The 26273-nt window shown below is 37.7% G+C and overlaps 1 protein-coding gene across 24 annotated transcripts in view; it reads left to right on the plus strand.

Moving 5' to 3' along the window:
* The window catches only part of CELF2 (CUGBP Elav-like family member 2), an 874126-nt gene that overhangs the window by 376404 nt on the left and 471449 nt on the right, over positions 1-26273 (plus strand). For 9 of the 24 annotated variants that reach the window (XM_047424494.1, NM_001326323.2, NM_001326320.2 and 6 more), the window contains one exon: positions 7110-7203. The exons of the other annotated variants lie outside the window; for them this stretch is intronic. Coding sequence is in view for 3 of the 9 variants with exons in the window: in XM_047424482.1 (XP_047280438.1) it covers positions 7110-7203 (94 nt within the window). In the remaining 6 variants the exon portion in view is untranslated. The remainder of the gene's footprint in view (positions 1-7109; positions 7204-26273) is intronic. 24 annotated transcript variants of the gene reach the window in all.

The raw sequence follows: 26273 nt of genomic DNA on the forward strand, positions 1-26273 counted from the left end.
TATGGTGAAAACCCATCTCTACTAAAAAAAAAATACAAAAATATTAGCCAGACGTGGTGGCACACACCTGTAGTCCCAGCTACTCAGGAGGCTGAAGCAGGAGAATTGCTTGAACCCAGGAGGGGGAGGTTGCAGTGAGCCAACATCACTCCACTGCACTCCAGCCTGAGCGACAGAGCAAGACTCATCTCAAAAAACAAAAATTATATTAGAAACCAAGACCTGGACACGAGGTGTGCTCACTGCTACCGGGTTGTCATTGCATCTAGGCCCTCTCAGCTGACAGAGCAAGGAAATATTTGTATACATTAACCCATGCATATACATATATCCCTAAATATCTCTACATGTAACCCTCTATATAAATAGTAAGCTAACATAAGCTCATACTGATGTCTTCAGCTCTATTCCATTACCTTCTCTCCCTGTTTATCTGGAAACTCCCACTCTAACAGTGAGACACCTGGCTCCCACTTTATGCCATCCATTTATGTATACATTCAATTTCACGTGTATAGTGGTTTCAGAATGTTAAGCCATACCTACACCCCATTAAGAAACAACTTTATCAACTACAGTGCAGTGCTTATGTACAGCTTCTTTCGCCCTTGGCCTTACATATTTCACTCGTTTCAGAAGTTACTTAAGTAAGAATATTTTTTCCTTCATAGCCTTTGGTGAGGTTGCTTCAAATGTGTGTAATAGAGTCAGACTTTTCTTTTGACATTCTGAATTCCACCCTGGGATTCCTGGACCTTATGAATGATGTTTTTTGAAATTTGCACAAATTAAGTTTCACTCTTTGTACTATAAGGCTCTAAGGGTTTGAACGACGAATGCAGTGGCACACATCCACCATTATATTATCATAGAGAATAGTTTCACTGCCCTAAAAATTCCTCTGTGCTTCACCTATTCAACCTCTTCACCCTAAACTCTGGCAACCGCTGATATATTTAACTGTTTTTGTAATTTTGGTTTATCCGGAATGTCATATATGTGGAATCACATAGTATGTAGCCTTTTTAGAGTGGCTTCTTCTACTTCACAGAGTTTTGTCTATGTATTTGCATGGCTTGATAGTTCATTCCTTTCTATCACTGAATAGTGTTCCTTTGTCTGGATGTACTAGTTTGTTGGTTTCTCCATTCACCTGTTGAAGGACATCTTGGTTGCTTCCAGTTTTGGCAATTATGAATAAATCTGCTGTAAATATTCATGCGCAGGTTTTTATGTGGGCATAAGTTTTCAGATCATTTGGGTAAATAACCTAGGAGCCTTATTGCTGCAGCATAAGTGAAGACTCTGTTTAGCTTTGTGAGAAACTGGCAAACTGTCTTCCAAAGTGGCTATATTATTTTGCATTTCACCAGCAATGAATGAGAGTGTTTGTTGCTCCGCATCCTCACCAGCAATTGGCATTGCCAATTTTTTAATTTAAGTCGTTCTAGTAGGTATTTAGTGGTATCTCATTGTTGTTTAAATTGTCATTTCCCAAGTGACAAATGACAGTGGATATCTTTTTGTATACTTAACTTGCCATGCATGTATCTTCTTTGATATCATTCAGATATTTTGCCTATACTTTAATTGGCTTGTTAGTTTTATTGCTGAGTTGTAATAGTTCTTTGTATATTTTGGATACAAGTCCTTTATCAGATACATATTTTGCAAATGTATTTTTTTCCAAACTGTGGCTTGTCTTTTTTGATTCTTTCTCTCTCTTTTTTAAAATTTTACTTTAAGTTCTGGAATAGACATGCAGAACATGCAGGTTTGTTACATAGGTATACATGTGCCATGGTGGTTTGCTGCACCTATCAACCTGTATTGTAGGTTTTCAGCCCTGCATGCATTTGGTATTTGTCCTAATTCTCTCCCTCCCCTTGTCCCCCACCCCCTAACAGGCCCCGGTGTGTGATGTTCTCCTCCCTGTGTCCATGTGTTCTCATTGTTCAACCCCCACTTATGAGTGGGAACATGCAGAGTTTGGTTTTCTGTTCCTGTGTTAGTTTGCTGAGAATGATGGCTTCCAGCTTCATCCATGTCCCTGCAAAGGACATGAGCTCATTCTTTTTTATGACTGCATAATATTCCTGTTGTATATGTGCCACATTTTCTTTATCCAGTCTGTCACTGATGGGCATTTGGGTTGGTTCCAAGTCTTTGCTACTGTAAATAGTGCTGCAGTAAACATACGTGTGCATGTGTCTTTATGGTAGAATGATTTATAATCGTTTGGATATATATCCAGTAATGGGATTGCTGGGTCAAATGGTATTTCTGGTTCTGTTTCTCTTAAAAGTGTCTTTCTCAAAGCTGAGTTTTTAATTCTAAAAGGTCCAAATTGTCAATTTTTTTCTTTCATATATTGTGCATTTGATATAGTATCAAAAAAAAAAAACCTCTTCATCACCAAACCCAAAGTTATATATAGATTTTCTTTTGGAAGTTTCATAGTTTTATATCTGAGTTAATTTTATGGAAGGTGTAGGTCTGTGTCTAGGTTCATTTTTATATAGATGGATATCCAGTTGTTAGAGCACCATTTGTTGAAAATACCATTCTTTCCCCATTGAATTGCCTTTGCATCTTTTTTTTTTTTAATCTATGGCCTATATTTGTGTTTGTCTATATTTGGGCTTTCTATTCTGATACATTGATCTTTATGTCTATTCTTTTACTAACACCATGCTGTCTTGATTATTATGAGTATAGCTTAATAGTAAGTCTTGAATTTGGGTAGTGTGAATCCTCCATATTTGTTTTTCCTCTTCAGTATTGTTTTGGCTATTCTTGGTCTCTTGTCTTTACATTTAAACTTTAGAATCAGTTTGCTGATATCCACAAAATAACTTTGCTGATACCCACAAAATAACTTGCTGGGATTCTTACTGAAATTGCATTGAATCTATAAATCAAATTGGGAACAACTGACATCTTAACAATATTGAGACTTTCAAAATGAACCCAGACTATTTCCCATTTATTTAAATCCTCTTTGATTTCTCTCATCAGTGTTATGAAGTTTTCTGTATGTGGGTCCTATAAATATTTTGTTAGGTTTATATCTAAATATTTCTCATTTTTTTCTGATGCGATTGTAAATGGTATTTTTCATTTCAAATTGGAAGACTCCAATTGTTCATTGCTGTATATGGTGAAAAATTAACTTGTATATTGACCTTGTATCTTGTAATCTTGCTATAGTTACTGATTACTTCCAGCATATTTTTGTAGATTCTTTGTTATTTCTACATTGCCAATTATGCCATCTAAAATAAAGACAGTTTTATTTCTTTTGTTCCAATCTGTATAGCTTTTACTTCTTTTTCTTGTATTTTTTTCTATTAACTAGGATTTCCAGTATGATGCTGAATCAGAGTGATAAGAAAGGACATCTTTTCCTTATTCGTGGTCTCAGGGGAAAATTGTTCAGGATCTCACTAAAAAGAATGATATTAGCAATAGGTTTTAAAATATATGCTCTTTATCAAATTGAGGAAGTTTCTGTGCATTCCTTTTTGAGAGTTTTTTTTCTTATGAATGAATGTTAGAATTTTTCAAATGCTTTTTCTGCATCAATTGACGTGATCATATGAGTTTCCTGCTTTAGCCTGTTGATATAGTAGATTACATTAATTGATTTTTTAATGTCAAACCAGCCTTGCATACTTGGAATAAATCCTACTTGGTCATAGTGTATAATTTTTTTACAGATTATTGAATTGTATTTGCTAATATTTTGTTGAGGATTTTTACATATATGTTCATGAGAGATATTAGACTGTCATTTTCCTTTCTTATAATGTGTTAATTTGGCTTTGATATTAGAATAATGCTGGCCTCACAGAATGATTTAGGAAGCACTTTCTTTGCTTCTATTTTCTGGAAGAAAATGTGGAGAATTGGCATTATTTCTTTAGTAAATTGTTGGTGGATTCACCAGCGGAACCATCTCAGCCTGGTACACTTCTTTGGGAGGTGGAGGAAGAAAGGTTACTTATTAATTTCTTTAGTAAATATAGGGCTATTCAGATTGTCTGTTTCTCCTGTAGGTTTTGGTAGTTTATGTTTTTTAAGGAGTCAGTCCATTTCATCTAAGTAATCCAATTTGTAGTTATAGGGTTGTTCATAATATTTCTTTATTATCCCTTCAACGTCCGTGGGATTAGTAATAATGACCCAGGTTTTATATCTGATATTGGCAATTTGTGTCTCCACAAAGAAAAACAACAGAAAAACAACAAAGAAAATCAATATAACAAAAGGTGGTTATTAATCTTTTCAAATAACTGGCTTTTTGTTTTATTGATTTTCTTTGTTGTTTTTCTGTTTTCAATCATTGGCTTCTCCTCTAATTATTTCTTTTCTTCTACATGTATCAGGTTGAAATTGTTCTTTTTTAAGTTTAATTTCATAACCTAGAATCAGATTATTGATCTTTCTTCTTTTATAATATATGCAGATAATGCTACATATTTCCCTCTAAGCACTGCTTTTGCTGCATGTCGCAAATTTTTCCAGCTATCTTTCTGTTACTGATCTATAATTTAATTATTTTGTGGCCTGAAAACATACTTTGTATGGTCTATATTTGTCAAAATTTTTGAGGTGTGTTTTATGGCTCATAATGGGATCTATCTTGGTGAATTTTCCATGGGATTTTAGAAAAATGTATATTCTACTGTGTTTGGATGAAGTATTCTATATATTCAGTTACATAAAGTTGGCCATGCTGTTCAGATCATTCATATCCTTATCGATTTTATGCCTACATGATCTACTGATAGAAGGGTATTAAAGCAGTGACGACATTTTGACTTTTGAAACAAAATCGCCCCCCAACACTGAATAGGTTCTGAATCTGTCCCAGTTGTCTTTTTGCAGATTATGAAAGTGGGTATCCTTGAAAACGGATGGTAGTAAATGTCTTAGAATTACTAAGATTTTTTTTCATTGGAGATATGAGAAAACTTGTCTGAGCAGCCACTTATGTAAGATATTGTGGAAGGGAATCATGAATAAGGGAAAAATGAATTAGATGATTCCTAAGATCCTTTGACCTCCGGGAATCTGTCCTACCTCGGGTGCTTCTGAATTCTCTTGGTGATATTTTTTACTTGACTTTTCTACTTCCTTTCTCCTATCTTTGTTCCTGCCTCAGAGTCCTGATATTTTTTTCCTCACAAATAGAGCTTATCTGTTAAATAAGACCTAATTTGTGACCTCTGACCAATATATAAGAGTATACTTAATGGGGAACCTATTGGGTCAAATTTCTTTCTGGTTTTTCCTGAAATCATCCTGTCCCATGAAGTTCCTTTTTCAAAACATTCAGAACAAGGGGAAACCAATCTCTACCCCCATGTGAGCCAGAGTGTTGAGTCTGAAAAAGCTGGAGAAAAATAAGGAGTATTTATTAATACTTCTGGCCAAAACAGTGATTCTTTTGCTGCCTTCTCCTGGAACAAAATCTTAAGGGAAAAAAATGAACTCTTTAAGACACATGAACATAGATAGTACAGAAGATTCCTCTAAGTGGGGAGAGAGAGTCCAGGACGGGCTTGCTGTACTGCCATTTGCAGTTTTATCCCAGAAAAATGAAGAGTGTGGGGAAACTAGCAAAGGGCTGTTTTCTGACATTTGTAAATCAGTCATGCAAATTAACAAATGCCTTATGCTAATACTAAAGAAATTACTTAAGCCTTTTCTCTCTAGTTATTCTTTGGGTTTTCTTGGGATTCTCTGACTTCAGGAGATTTTATCTGTGTCTAAGGACCGTAAGAAAAGGGTTTTGATTGGGATTAGCAGAGAAACCTGGCAAAAAGATTGACATATGCCCTGGGAAAGGAACAGAAAATTTGAAATCAGAATTATCAGGGAAAACTCAGGAAAGAATGTCTGCTGTTTATTGCTCACCTCTTCCACAAGGATCTCCCTTTGAGAAAGAACCTTGTAACTATTCATGAGCTCTCAGAGTTTCATGTGAGATGGATGAATGACCAGCATTTTCATTCCATTTTTGTAGAAAAGTGTGAGAAACAGTAAGGTTTTAATTATTTGCTCAAGGACAGGAATGGGCTTCTAATTCTAGTTCCTATTCACTGCCTGAGCACTTTCACAGCCTGTAATATTTAAATTACTGCTTAAATGTTTTATTTAATGATGAATGGTTTTTGCCATCATAGACGAGAAATTGCTGTGGCCATTTTCTTGCTTGAGTATTCAGTGTCTCTGAGATGGTAGGCTTATTCTTCGAGGGCCTCAAATGGGAGATCTGTATTAAACATGTTTCCAAAGGCTAATTTCTTAAAGGGAGAAAGAAAGAAAATGCAGTCTCAGTTTCCTGTCCATTAGCCTTCAGTTCATTGCTCCAAAAAAAAAAAAAAAACTGGGAGCTGTTTTGGCAAATAACCCTATGTTCTCGGGATAGTATCTGTGGAAACTCCCTTAAACTTTACAATGAAACAGAAAATGTAATAAAACAATAAAGCAAAGCAAAACATACACACACACACACTCTGTCCAAGGAGTCATAGCTAGAAGTCTGCAAGAAATTTCTGAGCTATCTCTTCCAAGAAAAAGACAGTATCTGTGCAAAGATATCAAAGAGAGATTCTAAAAGCAGAAGATAAAACTCAGTATTATCTGGTTAGGATAATCAGCTTAATTTAATCATTTCACAATGCATACATGTCTCAGAATATCACATGTATATATCACATGCATCTACAATTTTTATGTATCAGTTATACAGAAAAAATAAGTTTCATAACCAAACTGTTGTACATGCTGCTTAAATAAGATCTGAGCACTTTCATGTGATGGCAGGTTTGGGTTTTCTGCTTGGAATGCCCTCTTTCAATTCCCCATACCTGCTGGATTAAGATTAAGAAAGATAGATATATCTGATGCGATTTCTTTTATTAAAGCTGAAAAACAAAAGGAAACCAAGAAAAAACCCCTCATTATTATGTAACTATTTGGTTCCGTAATGAGCAAATTATTAATTCAATATGGTACATCAAGACGTAAGTGCGTCTGTGTGTCTCAGCTTCGGCATCTGTAAAATGACTCATTAACCTGTGAACCCCCTTTCATTGTAGACTTTTGTGATTCGATCAGATCCTTCTGCGCTCCCAGAGTTCAAGCAGGAGTAAGCAATTCCTTTGACGATATTTGGGAACCTCGCTATTCACAGTAAGGAATCCATTCCTTCCTCCCCTTCTGCTAAGACTTGGCATTTTTGTGATTAATTATATACGATATGGCCTCCTCATATGCTAGGTTTCAGTGTTTTTTCCAAGCTCCTTCTTGCTTCCCAGGACTTGGTTTTTCCTAAAGCTTTATTTTTGCTGACAATGAAATCTTCCCCCTCACTGCCCAGAATCTTTCACAGATGTTCCCTCTATCAACAGAGCAGCAGCTGCTGCCTGGACACTGAGAGCCCGAGGAATCCACTGGTGTCTTTTCATCTTGACAAATATTATTGAAATAAGCAAATAACTTTCAAAAAAAAATCCCAGAAGAGTCTATGTATGTGATCCTTTCCCTGTCACTTTCTTTTCAAAACTTGTCTTCATTTTGATGCTTTTATCACCAGGGATAAAGATTTAGAAGGGTTCCATAAATTGCAAGAGAAAGCAGTAATTGCCTTTTGAGTTCAGCATACCACGCAAAGCCAATGTGAAGCATGGAATGGCTCAGATCTGTAAGGGATGCTTTCTACCTAGAGCTCACATTTAACACTGAGCAGAACGATGCCCTTGCAGCTATGCCTGCAAGCAGAGTGCAGCACATCTGAATCTTGAAATCGAGGTCCATTTTGCTGAAATGAGGCTAGAAAACCATCTAAGGGAAAGTTATGTTTTCCAAAAATAAAAATGGAGTTTGATACCAATCTATTGTACATGCTGTTTAAATAAGATGTGAACACTTCCATGTGATTGCAGGTTTTGGTTTTCTGTTTGTAATGCCTTCTTGCAATTTTCTCATACCTGCCGGCCTAAGGTTAAGAAAGGCAGATGTCTCCGATGTGATGTCTTTTATTACTTACAGACTTGATATGTAATTTTGATAGAGCTAAGCCCATTATTAACCTTGAAGAGGGTGTTGTAAAGTAAGTTAAACAGTAGCTTAATATTTTTATTTGCAGGAAACACACACAAAATTAGATATAGTAATATCTATTTATATTAGGTATATATATAAAATAAGTAATGTATAATGTATGTTTTTTATATATACGCATATATATATATATGCACACACATCTATAAACAAAAGTGGAGGATGAAATGGCCTACATTAGGTGCAAAGAAACCTGTATTCTAGTCCTGTCTCAAAGATAATTTTAGAATGTCATTTCCATTCTCTCTGTTTCCTTGTCAATGTAAAATAGTGATGATATCATCTGACCTACTTCCTTTATAGCCTCAAATGAGAAAATGCTGTAGGAAGACAAATTTAAATGTAAAGTCTGGGTGGCTCCTGTGCGATACACATGCAGGAAGAAATGCATGCTCGTCCTGCAGCAGACCTCCTCACTCTGTAAACATTCACATGATTGGAGGCAAGCACGATGTATAACAATTCAGATTCATGTCCTCCCAAGAGGAAGGGTGGCTTTCTTGCCTGAAAAGCGTCATTGCAGAATGACTTTCAATAGCAAGTTCTAGTGTATTTTAAAAGGTTTCTGTATGCAAGAGCGTGTTCATTGTGCAGAGCAGAGTGTCTGTTTTAAAGCAGTGGCTCTCAGCTCTCATTGTTCTGCAGAATCACCTGGGCCCTACCCCAGAGCTTCTGATTCATTTGGTCTGAGATGAGGCTTAGCCGTGGTTTTAGTTTTAAGCTCCCTGGAGATTCTAATGGACAGCCAGATTTTATAGCATTATCTGTGAATGTGAAGATACAACATTGGCTGCACACACAGCAAAAATGACTGTATTTAAATGACTATATCCAAGTACATACTGTAAATTAAAGTACATTTAATTTCACCATACAGGAGATTATCAAAGCACATATAGAAGATGGTCTCCCTTCTCTTTTTTTCTCCTCCCTCTCTCCCTCTCTCCTTTCTCTTCCCCTCAAGGTCTATAAGTCCATCAGATAACTGGAGATGACAATTTCCCGCTATATTGTGCATATCAGTTCAGACTAAATCCTCTGGAGGAAATTTCGTTTCCTTTTCCTATAAGAAATTGGCCTTTTAAACAAGTACATTTTAGGTAAAAGCTTTTCTAGTTGATGTGTTCAGTACCCCTTTATTGCAATAAAAATCATGTGGTCTTGAATAAGTTTGAATGCTCTTGACTTAGGGAGTAGAGCTATTTTACCCATCTAAAGTTTATGCTGGCTCCTTTCCCCTGTCTGTACTTCAGCCTTGAAAAATGGCAACAGCGCCTTGAATATCGGGGTGGCATCATTTTATGGATCCCACTCTTTAAAAGCATGACCTGTGAAACTTAAAAACTTCTAAAGCTTAGGAGCGTTGCTTTTGACCAGAAGACCGCTTCTTGGGAAATTAAAGATGGGTTTACGTTTATGAATGGAATTAAGACAGAAATCTTTAAATTAAAGTAATTCAGAGCCACCCATAACAGAAGGCTCGTGGGGCAAGAGTTCTGTTTCCTGCCCCTGGAAGGCTCTCATGGTTTTGTGGAGTTCTGCTGATATCTTCCCTTTCAGCATCAGAGAGGAAATGTTTGTTTTGGCCATCGTGGGGCCCTGGATCTTTCTCCTAGGCCAGCGTGGGAGATGGAGAAGGGACATCAACAGAACGGGTTCCGATTGCTGCCTCTAACCATGAAATACGGTAGAGTTTCTTCAACCATCTAGAAAACGGAGATTAGACCACAGGGTTGTAAGGGGAGTCTGCTAGTGGATGCCGCCATGTTTTACGTAGGATTTGAGTCCCATGTCGAAGGAACACCTCCCTTCTAAAGCCCGTGACTATTGGCTGTTCTCACATGGTCCAGGTACCTGGGTGAAGGGGAAAAAAATCAGACAACAGCCTCTCTCACTATCCTGGACTCCCCCGTCCTTCTTCTGAAATTGCAAGCTTCTTAATTACAAACAACAATATCCATTTTGGCTAATTTTCTTTATCTTTCATTTTTTTAATTATTTCAAACTTGTAGAAAAACTGTAAGAACAGGCTGGCCATGGTGGCTCACGTCTGTAATTCCAGCACTTTGGAAGGCTGAGGCGGGCGGATCTCTTGAGGTCAGGAGTTCGAGACCAGCCTGGCCAAAATAGTGAAACCCTATCTCTACTAAAAATACAAAAAAAAAAAAAACAAATTAGCTGGGCATGGTAGCGGGCACCTGTAGTCCCAGCTACTTGGGAGGATGAGGCAGAAGAATCACGAACCAGGAGGCAGAGGTTGCAGTGAGCAGAGATCATGCCACTGCACTCCAGACTGGGTGACAGAGCAAGACTCCATCTCCAAAAACAAAAAAGAAAAGAAAACTGTAAGAACAATACAAAGAATACTATACACTCTTTCCCCAGATTTCCTGTTTCTCAACATTTTGCCATATTTGCTTCGTCATTCTTTCCATACATACTACCTTCTGAATCATTTGAGACTGAGTTACAGATCTGATGCCCCTTTATTTATGCCTAAGTTCTTAGGTGTGTGTTTCCTAAAAACAAGGATATTCCCTTACATAACGACAGTACAATTATCAAAATCAGGAAATTAACATGTTATGGTATTATGACACAATCTGGCTCGCTCTCCAATTGTCTCGATAATGTGTTTTATCATACGTGTGTGTGTATATATTATGACCAAATAGTTTCTATCTTTGTGCACGTGTATGTGTATATGTATATGGATAAAAATTTATCCAGTTAGGATATACACAAGCAATTGCTTTAAAAAAAAAAAATTGGCCAGCCAGGTGTGGTGGCTCATGCCTGTAATCCCAGGACTTTGGGAGGCCGAGGCAGGCAGATCACAAGGTCAGGAGTTTGAGACCAGCCTGGCCAAAATAGTAAAACCCCATCTCTACTAAAAATACGAAAAAAAAAAATTAGCCGAGCATGGTGGCGGGTGCCTGTAATCCCAGCTACTTGGGAGGCTGAGGCAAGGAATATCGCTTGAACCTGGGAGGCGGAGATTGCAGTGAGCTGAGATCACGCCACTGTACTCCAGCCCAGGCGACAGTGGGAGACTCCATCTCAAAAATAAAAAAATTAAAAAATTGGCCAATATAAGTAGCAAAGGAAGTTATTAAATTATATCTGGTAGTTTAATAATCTCCAGAAAGGCTAGACAGCAACACTCTGAAATTACACAACTAGAAAAAAATGCCCAAACATGTGGCAGGATTTTCTCCAGTAAGAAGATGATTGCTATCACTGCATGGTACCTATGTAACTTGGGACTGAATCCTAACACTCCACCACTGCTGACTCTCAAAGTTCTTTGGAAGAATGAATTGCCAAGACATGGCCCTTGAGTATTGCTCATTTCTGAATCCAAGGCTTTCAGAGCTACGCTGATTGGAAACCTAGGTCACACATGCCTCTACTTTAACCACGAAAGAATCTGGAAATGCAAGTGTTTCAGCTTCCTCCTTGGATCTCATAATACGAGAAATTATCAGACTCTAGGAAGGATGTTTGAATATGTTGGAGAGCCACAAAAGATAATAATAGCAACATCAATTGCAAACAATAACAGGTAACATTTATTGATCACACCTTACATGTTAGGCATTCTTTTAAATATTTTTATTAATGCTTTTAATCTTCACAATAACCTAATGGGGTGCACAATATTATTGTCCCTAGTTTACCAGTAAGGAAACTGAGACATAGATATTAGTTTATTTATTTTTATTTTTATTTTTTTGAGATGGAGTCTCTGCTCTGTCACCCAGGCTGGAGTGCAGTGGCGTGACCTCAGCTCACTGCGACCTCTGCCTCCTGGGTTCAAGTGATTCTCTTGCCTCATCCTCCTGAGTAGCTGGGATTATAGGCGCCCCCCACCATGCCTGGCTAATTTTTGTATTTTTAGTAGAGACGGAGTTTTGCCATGTTGGCCAAGCTGGTCTCAAACTCCTGACTTCAAGTGATCCATCTGCCTTGGCCTCCCAAAGTGCTGGGATTACAGGTGTGAGCCACTGTGCCCGCCAAGAAACTGAGACATAGGTATTTTGTAAGTTGTCCACGATGACTAACAAGGAAGAAGCAGAGGCATAATCCATATGAGTTCTTAACTCTTACATCTTTCTTTTTCAAAACACATGCTGGAAAATAGTTTGGCCATTTCTTATGAAATTAAGCAATTACATTCTTGGGCATTTATCCCAGAGAAATGAACATTTCATTTCTCACAACAAATGTTCAGAGCAGCTTTTTGGTACTAGACATGCCCTCCCACTATAAACAACAAATGATGATGGAACAATTAGACATCCATCTGCAAAAACATTAACTTCGATTCTCACACCATCTTTTAAAAATTAACTCAGCAAGGTTGCCGACCTCAATATAAAACTTAAAACTATAAAACTTCTAGAAGAAAGCATCAGAGAAAATGTTTGTGACCTTGTGTAGGCAAAGATTTCTTAGATATGAAGCTAATACTGTGATCCAAAAGTTGATAAATTGGACCTCATTGAAACAAAACATCAGACAAAAAAATGTGTTTTCTCTTTGAAAGACATCATTAAAAGAATGAAAAGACAAACCACAGACTGGGAGAAAATAGGTCTAAATCCTCTCTGTGATAAATGAATTGTATCCAGAATACGTACAAGGAACTCTCAAAACTCAATAAGAGGAAAGCAAACAGCCCAATTTTTTAAGTGGGCAAAAAAATCGAGCAGGCATATTACCAAAGAAGGCATATAGATGACCAATAAGCATATAAAGAGATTCCTAACAGCATAAGTCATTACAGAAATGAAAATGGAAACTAGTGACCTGTTCCTGCACACCTATTACAATGGCTAAAATTAAACAACTGACTATATCAAGTGTTGGCAAGTATGGGGAGGGACTGGAAAGCCCATACACTGCTGGTGGGAATGTAAAATGCTACAGTTGCTTTAGAAAACAGTTTTGTAGTTTCTTAAAAAGTTAAATAGGTATCTATCATATGATGTAACCATTTAACTCCTTGGTGTCTACTCAAGACAGAAGAATTTATATTTCTATACAAATATGTATATAGTATATCCATAGAGCTTTATCTGTATTAGCCCAAACTGGAAGCAACCCAGATGTCCTTCAGTGTGGATGATTACACCAATGTGATACATCCATACAATGGACAACTACTCAGCAACAAAGAAACAAACTATGGGTTTATGCAACAACTTGGATGGATCTCAGGGGGATTATACTGAATGAAAAAAGCCAATTCCAAAGGGTTACTTGCTATATGACTTCATTCACAGAAAATTGTTGAAATGACAAAATTATTTATTAAAACAGAGAATGGATTAGTAGGTGCTGGAGTTGGGGCTGGAAGGGGCATGGGAGAAAGGTGTGTGGTTATAAAAGGACAGCATGAGGAATGCTTGTGGTGGTAGAATTGTTGTGTATCTTGACTGGGTGGTAGATACACAATCCTACACGTGTGGCAAAATTGAATGGAAGTAAACACACACAGACACCACTGAAAGCATACAAAACTGGGGAAATCTGAATACGATCCATGGATTGAATCACTGTCCACATCATGGTTGTGATATTATACTAGAACACTTTTGCAAGATGTTACCCTCGGGGGAAATGGGCAAAGCATTCACATGATCTGTCTGTGTTATCTCCTTTAATTGAATGTGAATCTACAGTTTTCTCAAAAAGAAAACTTTAAACACACACACACCAAGACAACAGCGTGAGATAAGATGCCCTTTTTAATTTTCAGAAGCTGAATTTGGAGGCTGAACAGGAAAATCAAAATTTATTTTTGTGTGTGCCTTTTAGAACACAGGGTTAACATTCAATTTCCTTGAGCATGGAAGGGTTTCTGTATATATTATTCAACTATTAATCATGATTATTATTATTACTGAGACAGAGTCTCACTCTGTCACTTAGCCTGGAGTGCAGTGGTGCAGTCTTGGCTCACTACAGCCTCCACCTCCTGGGTTTAAGTGATTCTCCTGCCTCTGCCTCCCGAGTAAGTGGAACTACAGGTGCACACCACCATGCCCGGCTAATTTTTTTGTATTTTTATTAGAGATGGGGTTTCACCATGTTGGCCAGGTTGGTACTGAACTCCTGACCTCAGGCAATCTGCCCACCTTGGCCTCTGAAAGTGCTGGGATTACAGGTGTAAGGCACTGCACCCGGCCTATTAATCATTATTTTAACTTTGTCATGTCTAGGATTCTTGGTTGCTGTAATAACTGGCTTAATTAGCAGGCTCCTATAAGAAAAAGAAAGATGGTGGGCAGGTAGGGGGGCAGTTGGGGAGGAGTGGTGCATTTAGTGAAAAGATCTGGGGAATTCAGAGAATCCACTGGAAGGTTACAAACCAGTTTTGGAAATGAGCATAAAGAAGAGCATCTCTGGAAGTCTAGGAAACATAACTACACTCGTAGAATGGTCTCCTGGTAGGAACAGGAGGCTGGGGAAACATGGTGGCTGGGAATAATACACACCAAGCATTTTTTGGTGTTAATGTCACTTGCTCATGAGTAAAAGTCCAATAGAAAAAAAAAAGCCCCCTTATTGCGAGACTAGGTCACGTGCCTTCCTCCTGGCCACATGGAGATCTTGAGAGTGGGGAGCTGGCCTCTCGGTTCTCCTCGGCATGAGGCAGATGCCAGATTTTAGCTTCACACTAAACTACGCACAGTGTAGGAGGGGTGGGATCCTCCGAGAAAATCAGGAAGCCACTAGAAAGGGGCAGAGGATGCCGGCTGGCCAGGTGACGATGAATGTCCACCTAAACAAGGAAATTAAAAGGGAGAGCAAGACTTCGCATGTACGAAAGTCAAGGAGTGTGGTGTTTAAAGAGTGCTCCGGATGCAACTTTTCTATCCCCATATACCTTCTTTGTGTAGTTTCTGCAATTCTGTCATCTAGAAATATTTTCCTGTTAAACATGAACTCTCATTTAAGAGTCCATTTAAAATGCACATTTTCCTGGTGTAAATATGTATTTTACACATTACTTGCAAAATGCCAAGTCATGAATACCTAAATATGAATATCAGATATGTCTGGAGGACACTCATGAGGACTCTGTGTCAACATGCGAATCGAACCTGGAATATGGAAGTGTCAAAAGAGCCTGTGTCTGCTCTAGTTTTGTCCAGAGCTGAACCAACCTAAGGAACAATTTGGGGGAAGGGTGCTTATTGCAGTTGTGGTCAGCCCCAAGCTGTGAAAAGTGGCAAAGCCAGGCAGAATGAGAAGTCAAGTTATGGATATGGTGTGACCGTAAACAAGAGGTTTTGCCAAACCTACAAATGGCTCCTTCTGAATGGCCGTTTATTCTCGAAGTGAGTTTATAGGCATCCTTCAGCTCAAAGGTCACAGGTAAGACAGGGATTCTATTCCACCATGACCCAAGGAACCCACTCCGGGATCCAAAAATAATTATTGGCAAAAATGATTCCAGCTTTATTGGCATTTCCCAAAACAGGATTAAATGAACTGTGTTCAATTCAAAACCCACAGCATTCCCCCAAATCCCTCTCTCCCCATTTCTCTGCTTGCTGCCTCTCCAGTGCACAGCAAAACTATAAGCTCCCTTTGTCTTCCTCCAAATTCCAACTTGCAATTTAAAATTCTCACCCCTGTCTTGTGGTAAACTAATTGTTTTCACTTCTATGTATAAATATTAAAATATCTGAATGCAGGGCCCCCTCTCCAAGTCAACATCATTCTCCCACCCCCTGTTCTAACCCCCTAGCTGATTGAGTCATACCAGGATTGAATCCACCCAAGCGGGCAGAAAGTGGGCTCCAGGGGAGGAAAATCTGAGCCAGCGTCCACCTGTCAAGCCTGGATGAACAAGTTCAGATTTCCAACACGATGAGGGTGTAACTCTGCCCAACAAACAGAAGTCAGTCAAAGTCAATCTTCACCTGCTGGGGAACTTCATCTTTGGGTCACTGCCAAGCATCGGGTCCACCAGCCTCTCTCTGGTTCCTGAATTGTCACCACTTTGTGCCACTGGGTTCCAGTCCCAGTGAGAATCTGCATGGGACACACAAGCTTGATCAGTTTTCTCAGTGCTCACACTGGGGGTCTGCAGGCCCCTCTGCATTTCAAGATGTCCATCTGGCACCTCATCCTGCCATCACTCCCTCCAGTCTTGCAACTCAGAGGTGCTTCTGGCATTCCCCTCTGCAAGTGTGATCAGGTGTAAAAGAGGATGTGGTACCAAAGTGACACTGCTGTCACCTAGGATGGGCTTCCTGCAGCTGACATGTGTACACACAACAGTGAGGCCCAGCCTGCACGTCTAAATCCATTGGCACTGGTGTGAAAACCAAGGACAGAGGCTCTGATAACAGAAATACAGTGCCCTGTCACCAAAGGCTAGCAGAGCATAGACAGATTTAATCCTTTCATATCACTGGCACATAAATCCTACACAGATTGTGACTTTAAAAGGCTTAGCTACCAGACTTATTTTACAGCCTGTTTCTGACATAACAAAGAAAGAGTTTCCCATTCATTCTGCTGCAGGTCTCAACAGAAAAGAGGAGGATCAGGGTGGTTAACTTAAACCAATTTTTTCTCCATGGTAGCAGTTGCCAAAATGTGTGCTATGGAATACGAGGATCCTTGGAGGTATTCATAGGCACTAGTAATCAGCATTAATTCCAACATAAATAATATTTACTGGGTATCTACTATGTGCCAGTAAAACCAACACTGGTTTTGTAACCTTCCAGCATGTAGTAGATATTAGGTATCTAACATAGTAGATATTCGCTATCTACTATGTGTGATGATTCTAGGCCCAAGAGACCCCACAGTGAACAAAAGAAATAAAAAGCAAGAAAGGCGGCAAAGAGATGTCAGTCTGGAGAAACCGGATCTAAGATCTAGGAAAGGTATTTGGGAAGAAAAGAACTAAATTTATTATACTTTTTCATGGATGGTGTCTTATGTTGTCTTTCTGGAGAACTTAAAAATTTAGAAATGCAAGACTGAGTGAGCCAGAGCTTCTACTCCCTTGGAAGGAGAAAATAAGGAAGTTGGTATTTCAGTGACAACTGTGGCTGGCATATTAACTATATTTTACTTTAATCCTGACACTAACTCTGTTATTTAGATATTAATTGCATTTTCACACCGGATCGCGTTGTTTTCCTGAGTGGAAAACAATATAATGCAAATGTTTTATTTAAAAAAAGTTGACCAGCACCAAAACCCAGAATTCATCCACAATGAGTCACTCCCATGTAATATTTTAAAAAATGTTTGATCTCTATGGGTATGAAGATCCTCAAATAAAACATCTGCAAAGTAGAACAGAGAGATCAAATATTTAAAGACTTGTAATTTTGGGGGAAAAAATGACTGCATTTTGGCTAAAGGTAAGGAACAAGTGCTTTATCATATTCTTCTGCTTACTGAAATCATTTGATCAGATAATAAACAATGGAAGAAATAATCTTCTCATTGCATAATATTTTTTACTTTATTATTCTGTCTTCGTTAGCATCTTTGTTAAACGTTGAGTCACTAGACACATTTCCCATTCTCCTAAATAATGCCAAGCCTTCTACTCGTGCACTCATTTACATCCCTTTTCACTTTCTCAAAGGATTTACTTCTGAAATATCATTTTTCATAAGCATCACCAGATTTATCTTATTGATTGGGTGATTCCCATTGGCTTTATAACATTGCTGTAGTATCTTCCGTCTTCAAACAAACAAAAATTAATCTTCTGAACTTTCATTTTCATGCTTGATGGAGAAATTAGTACCAGACTTGCTCTCCCACCATTAACAACTAGAAAATTGGACAAAATACATGAAACAAGTTTGTTGGGACATTGGACAACAAGGAAGCGTAGAATTCTGATCTTTTAGAGAAAGGAAATAAATGAGGTAAGCTCCATAATCATCCCAGCTTTCTGATACCTTCTGGACAACAGCAAAGGAAGGGGAAACCCAAGCAGAGAACAATAGTTTGCTAATGAGTGGAGTAGACCAAGATTTGAGTTTGGAGAAGCTGGAGTAGCTTTGCAGAGAAAGAGCTCCAGAAATTTATGACATTGCCTTGGTCGTTGACTGACTGCTAACCTTCTCATGCACTGGGGGAATCTTCACAGGTGTGGGAAAAGAACAACCAGGGATTCTATAAGCTAAAAAGCTTCTAGAGCTTTCAGAGAGGTGGGAGATGTTTCATTTCCAACCAGATGCAGTGAAAAGACCTTGTCAAACAGCAGACCAGTCAGTAGAGACCACAAAAGAATTACTTCTCAGTAGTGGGGCTAAACTAGCCTTGGAGTAAAGGCTAATGTAGAATCACCCCAACAAAGCTTAAAAACAAATCTCAGAAGGCTCAGGCTGCCCCACAAGTAACTTAACTGCCTGCCAAAGCACTCTTTAAAGGAAGAAAACAGTGTGATATTTAAAATGTCAAATACTCAGTCAAACATTACTAGATGTACTGAACTGTACATTTTAAAATTGTAAAGATGGTGAACTATATATATATAAATATATGTGGTAAACTACATATATATAGTATATATATATATATATATATATATATATATATTTTACCTCAATAAAAAAAAATACTGGATGTACAAAGAAACAGGAAAATGTGATCCATAGCCAAAAGAAAAATCAGTCAATAGAAAAAGACCCAGTAAGGAGTCATGATGAAACTAGTAAAAAAAATGACTTTAAAACAGCAATTAGAAAAATACACAAGCATTTAAAGGTAAACATGAACACACAATGAAGTAACAGAAATATAAAACACAACCATAGGGAATTTGTAAAATTTGTACAGACGCTAATTTTTTTTTAGTCACTAGATGGGCTTAACAGCAGTTTAGAAACTGCAGAGTGACTATCAATGAATAGAAATTATCTAAATTATCTAAAGTCAGAAATTCAGAGATAATAAAGGTGGAAAAAGAAATGAACACAGCTCCAATAAGCAGTGGGCTAAATTTTAGTGGCTTTAAACGTGATTTAGAGTCCCAGAAAGGTTTGAGGACAGAATAAATAGTTGCTGAAATAATGACTAAAATTTATCAAAATATGATGAAAACTACAAACCCACAGGTCCAAGAATTTCACAAACACCAAGCAGGGATGGAAAATGTTGCCTGAGGGATGCCTTAAGGCCTCTCTGTGGCCTCTCATCACCCAATGGACTAGTCCTGCTTTGTTTACATGGTAAAGAGTAGCAAGAGAGAGAATACCCCAATGTCTAGCTACTTTTCATAACTGCTTGTGTCCTATTTTCTAATTTCTCATTGGCATAGCGCATCACATGACCTAGGCCAAATTCAAAGAGACAGGCATAATGAGATAGAAAGAATGTGTGGCCATTTGTAACCTACCCATCAGAGAAGCCTTATTGATTATCCTATCTAAATACCCCTTTCCACATCCCATCACACGCTATATTCTTGTTTTATTTTTCTTCCTACTGTCAAAAAGTACTTGAGCTATATTAAATGTTAATTTATCTACTCCATTAGAATTAAAAATTCATGAAATTCTCCCTTTTGCAGTCCATTATCCAGTGCCAGCACATAGTACTTGATAATAAATTGTTGAATGAATGAAAGTATGTTGTTGAATGAATGAAAGTATCCAGGAATAGATGTATTTCCTAAAAAAAAAAAATCTAGGGAAAATGAACATTTTCAATAAAACATTTAAATAACATTATTCCTTTAGTTTATTCAGAAGATTCAGAAAGCCAGAAGAGTTTAAAAAGTAAGGAGGATTATAACTTTTCTCACAACTCTTGATAAAGCACTATGTACGCAGGTATAAATTAACACTAGGACAGTGTGGTCTCTTTATCTTTTGTACAATTTTTAGATACCCACAAGTGGTTCAACAACTAGCAGATGATAATAAGTAAATATTTTTCTTTGAAGGACTTTCAGAGGACAAATTCAAAATGATTAGTAGCTACTGTAAGAACTAAACTTTTTTCAAGTATTCGTATTAATGATTTTTGGTTTTGTTTTCCTTTTTTGCCATTCTTATTCACTTGTTTTTGGCTAATGATGTAATTGTAAAAACCTGAAAACAAGTCATTAAACAATAAAAAACAAATTGCTCATTCCCTCAAAATTTAATAATCAGACCAAGGCTTGGTTGAGGGCTCAGGTTGATCAAGATAGTTAATTTTTATTATCCTAATTAGAATCTAATTTCAGGACTTCTTAATCAAAAGTGATTCATTAGCCCCATTTTGTTGGTTAAGAAGAGGCTAAATGAAGTGAGTCTTAACAGTCCTTTGGAACAGAAAGATCTGTTTTTTTTCTTGTATTGCTTATTTTCCTAAGCAAACAAGGTAATGGGAAATAGCCACCACAGTATGACCCTGTTAACTGTTCTGAAAAGAGGGGAGAAGAGAGATTTAGATAGAACATAACTGAATTTTTCAATTAATAGTATTTCACATAGAAAAATGTTTTCCTGTTGATCTGTCATCCTATTAAATAACCACACACACATACACACAAACCTTTTTATAGTAGCTGGAGTTTTGATTCAAAGAGTTTCGAATAAGTGGTTTATTCGAAGATCTAGCAGTCAGGCCACACATTATGCCACTAGGTTTTCTGACTCTTACTAGAATTTTTGAGATTTGAAGCAAAATATAGATTTAGATGCTTAAGTTTTCAGTGTACCTAGGAACACCTGCTTATATCAATATAAATGATATAGTTATCATCAGTAAAATAATGTTTATTTCCTCAGATAAATTCCTAGCCTGGCAGTTCTCAAATGTTTTGGTGTCAATCTTCTTTTACATTTTTTAAAAAAAATTGGGGATATCAAAGAGTGTTTGTTTGTATGTTTTATGTCTATCAATATTTGCCCTAGAAAATAAAATTGGGAAAAATACATATTCACAAATATAATAAATCCATTACATGTTAAGGTATCTTTTTATGAAAATGTATCATTTATTAATAAATTTATAAGATAGCTATATGGAACCAAAAAATAGAGAAGTGTGATTAGTTTTCACTTTTGTAAATCATTTTAATATCTCATATAATGGGAGAGCTGGATTTTCATGTATACTTGTGCATTGGATCTGTGCAATATCTCACACCATCCAGCCTCTGGAAAACTCCACAGTGCATCTGAAAGAACAAGATTAAAAATGGTGAATAATGTAATAACATTATTTGAAAATAGTTTGACTTCACAGACCTCCTGAAAGGGTCTCTAGGACCCACAGGTGTCCCCAGGCCACCAATGTGTCCCAGATGTCCTCAGGCCACCTGTGGGTCAAAATGCCTGTCCTAACTTGTTTGAAGAACTCTCTCTGACTAGAGTCTTCTGATGGAAATTCTATGACTCATTAAAATGCAAAGTTATCAAAAGTATAAGAGAAAAAAGTCAATTTCATTTCATTTTTTCCCATGGCAAAACTCAATTTTAATTCAGTTGATAACTTTTTATACAATGATACTTGGTGCTGCTAAAAGGAAAACTTTAGACAAATTAAATTTAGCAGAGTTTGTTTGAGCAAAGAACAATTTATGAATTGAGCAGCACTCAGAACCAGGAGAGGTTCACAGGGCTTCACCCAACAACGTGGCAGGCAGTATTTATAGATAGGAAAAGGAAGTGACGTACAGAGACAGCTTGATTGGTTACAGCTATGAGTTTGCCTTATTTGCATACAGTGTGATGAGGCATTTGCCTTATATGTTCATGGTCTGATTAGTTGACAGCCTGTGATTTGCTAAAAGCTTGGCTGCTATGATTGGCTGAGACTCAGCTACTTGTTACAAGAGCATATTCTTTTTTTATATATATAAAAGACTGTAATCTCACTATGTTACCCAGACTGGAGGACAGTGGCTCATCATTGCACACTACAGCCTTGAACTCCTAGGCTCAAGCAGTCTTCCTGCCTCAGCCCCCTGAGTAGATGGGACTCCAGGTGTACTCCACCATACCCAGCTAAGAATGGTTGGTTGGTTGTTTGAGACAAGATCTCACTCTGTCACCCAGGCTGGAGTAGCACAATCTCAGCTCACTGTAACCTCTGCCTTGGGCTCAAGTGATCCTCCCACCTCAGTATCTTGGACTACAGGTGCATCCCAGCACACTCAGCTAGTTTTTTAACTTCTTGTAGAGATGGAATCTCACTGTATTGCCCAGGCTTGTCTCAAACTCCTGGGCTCAAGTGATCCTCCTGCCTCAGCTTCCCAAGGCACTGAAATTACAGGCATGAACCACTGTGCCTGGCCAAGAATGTATTCTTAAATTAGGTTGCAGTGGATTTATGTACTAAGTTAGGTTGCATTTTGCTACATAGAAACTCATAGTATGGAGGCAGCCTCAGACAAATTAATTTAACAACACATTTTTCTCAGTGAAAATATATTTACATGGTTTTATAAAAGTTAATGATCCCTAGACAATTTCTCAGCTGTGAAAGGGGCTTTAGGTAAATCCACCAGAGGAGTTAACTTCCAGCCATTTTAATCACCACCCAACTCTATGCCTTCCCAACCCCACTCCTAAATTGTATATTTTAAATATCTTGCAAGAATTGGATATTCCTGTTTTAGAAATCACTTTAAAATTTTTTAAGTAAAAGTGTTCAAAGTTTATCTCTTGAAAATTCTGATTCCCCTAGATGATATGATTAAGGCAGATAAAAATTATTCATGTCCTTGAGTTTGTGAAACTAAGACAGAAGATAATTAATATGCTCAAAGTTAGACAAAGGCCCTTGACTTTCTAACCATTATATAATTAGAAATAATCTTTTAAAAACAATAGGTCTAATAAAAGGCATTGGCAGAGTCAACCTATTTTCTTTTTTATTCCCATTGTGTCCAGCTCTCCAAAATGCTTACAGACAAGGTTCTTGGGGGCATTTAAATGGAAATGAATCTAGCTCTTCATATTAACATATGACTGTTATCTGTGAAAGTAAACTTCTTTAGAAATATTAATGTATCATTTGCAAGGCTGTAAGTTAAACCAGATGGTAATGAATAGAAGACATTAAGGTATGTAGAGGCCCTAATGTTCATGTGTCTTGGTTACTGGCTGTGTAACAAATTATCACCAACCCCAGTGGCTTAAAACAGTCCTTTTATTTTGCTTACACTTTTGTAGGTCAGGCATTCAATAAGAACGTGGCTGGGCAGTAGTCACTTAGGGTCTCTCATGTAGCTGCAGTCACATGTTGGCTGGACTGCAATGATCTGAAGGCTCTACTGGGGTGTGTATTCAGTTTGGCTCACTCGCCTGGTTGGTGGTTGATGCTGGTTGTCATCTGGAACTCATTTGGGCTGTCAATCATAATGCCTCTTTGTGGACTTTCCAATAGGACCACTTCAAGCTTCTTAGGTGGTACCTGATTGGTTCACCCCAGAATAAACATTATAACAGAGTTAGGCAGAAGGTACTTGGCCATTTTTGAGCCAGCCTCAGAAGTTATTCAACATCACTTTCATTGTATTCTAATGGTTACAAGTGTGTCATTACGGTCAGCTCAGATTCAAGAGGAGGGCACATGGGCCCTGCCCTTCAACAGGAGCTGTGTTCAATCATTTGCAGACATGCTTTAAAATCAACATACCATGTAATGTTGAGAGTACCTGCTTTTATATTTTCAAATGCAGAAAAGCAGATATTCCCATGAAGACTATGGAATATCAGTAAAATTCATTATATCTTTATTCTAATTAAAAATATTCATGATTACACAAAAACAATTTATATTCAAAATTCTTATTTTAATTCTGTCAATAGTGTTCTGCTCTGTGTGGGAATAGGAATAAGGGCAGAGTAAGTGGCAACATGGAGCAAAGGAGGTGATCAGACAAGATCTGCAGAGCCAGAGGGTGGGATGTGTCATCTACATAGACTTCACATTTCCTTAAAATGATGACAACAGTTGAAGAACCAAAAAATGATTCCACCAGTTGTGCTAAGAGGCTGGTGTAGCCAGAGGCTGTGAGCCTCAAAGAAGCGAAAACCGTACAGTGGTCTGGAGGAAGCAGGGATGAACAGGAAAGAACCCTACTCCTCCTCCCAGCTACACTGCCCAGGCTAAAAGAGATAATTTTCTTTATTAGAGTCCCTAGGAGTATTAATCCCACTATCACATTAATCCTCAAATTAACCCTGTGAGGAAGGTATCATTAAAATTATACAATGTGTGTGTTCTCATATGTGTGTGTAGCATGTGAGAAGGCACTAGAGATCCTACAGATCAGCACTTGTTTACTATTTCTTCCAAGTGCTTTTACATTTGTTATCTGTCAAAAACATTGACATTTCAAGTTTCTGGGTTCAAAACCCAGCTCTGATGTTGACGAGCTATGTGACCTTGGGCAAAGTTAGCAGATCTCTCTAAACCTTGGTTGTCTTATCTATCAAATGGGGCTAGGGTGTTGAAAGGATAAAATAATTCATGGAAACACTTTTAAAGTATTAGGTTGATGCAAAAGTAATTGCAGTTTTTTGCCGTCACTTTTAATGGCAAAAACCACAATTACTTTTGCACCAACCTAATAGATTAAGTGGAGACCAGGCCTGAAGATTCCCTGGCAGACAAAGCCAATTAGCCCTCATAAGTGACTTAGACCTTTCTTTATATGCAAACGTAAGTGAAACTTAGCTTGAGCCACTTCTTATAAATGCCTGTATTAAAGAAAAACAGAACTTACCCTCTGGTCAAAAGCAGCCCACTAACTTGTTTAACTAGGACTTTCCAGCAGGACAAACCAAATAAGGCAACTTTATAACTGTAACCAATCAAATACTTTATTTGTATTACTTTCACATTAGCTCTATAAAAGCTTGTCCCTTACGCTTCTTTGATAGAACCCCAAACGTCTTCTAGTTTGGAGCTTCCCAATTCATGAAGTGCTGCTTGTTCAAACAAACTTTTTAAAATTTATTGTGCCTCAGTTTATGGTTTTAACATGCTTATTATAATTAGCATATAATAAGGGCTTAGTCAAAATGCACTCAGTGAATGGCTTAAAAATATATTACACATATACGTACATACACACATAAAATATCGGTTAATATCCCAGCTCTGCCACCAACCAACTTTTGACCCTAAGCAAATCACTTTAACATCAGGGCATTTTTTTTTTTCATTTCTTCACCTATTAAATCTCAGAAAGAAAACTACATCATTTCTCCAGTGCATTCCATTAGCAACCCATGCATATCCCTGTGATAGTAATTATCTTACCAGAATCTTCAGTATATTTATTTGCCACTCTTGACTGAGCTCTCTAAGGGCACAGACTATGTACTAATCAGCTCAGGCTGCCGTAACAAAATACCACAGGCCAAGTGGCTTAAACAGCAGACAATTATCTCTCACAGTTCTGGGGATGGTGGAAGTCCAAGATCAAGGTACCTGTTGATTCAGTTCCAGGTGAGGGCTCTCTTTCTGGTTTGCAGAAGGCCACCTTCTGGCTGTGTCCTTACATGGGGTGGTTGGGGGAAGCGTTCTGGCTCAGGTCTCTCTTCTTATAAGGGCACTGATTCCATTGTAAGAACTCCACTCTCCGTACCTCTTCTAAACCTAATCACCTCTCAAAGGCTCCATCTCCAAATATAATTGTCTTAGGTGTTAGAGCTCCAAGATATGAATCTTAGAGAGACACGAATATTCAGTTCATAACCAACCAGCTTTCATCCCCATATTCACACTACTTCATGTGTCATTTTTCCCTCAGGGAAAGCTTGTTGAAATTTTAAAACCACTTCTTGTCCCCAGATACTATCATCTAGAGATAATGAAAAAGATATATATTCACAATATAAGAGTTTCCCCACATATGAAATAAAAGAACCTTGGGTATTTTCAAAATCTTGTGGTGTGGTGTTGTTTGGATGCAGCAAACTTAATTTGCTGTATCACCATATATTCATTTAAAAATCTATCTTAATAAGTGCCCTTGGAAGGAAAAATGAGGAAAATTTTTTTTCCTGTTAGATAATTTTCAATCACTAAACAGAATCACCATTAAACAGAATTCACCACTCACCTCACTTTTCTCCTGCTCTCGTAGAAAATATGGTCTGCTTCCTATTGTATTTAAGGAAAAGTATGGAAGG

This window comes from Homo sapiens, chromosome 10 (assembly GCF_000001405.40).
Source record: "Homo sapiens chromosome 10, GRCh38.p14 Primary Assembly".
In the NCBI taxonomy this organism is placed as follows: Eukaryota; Metazoa; Chordata; class Mammalia; order Primates; family Hominidae; genus Homo; species Homo sapiens.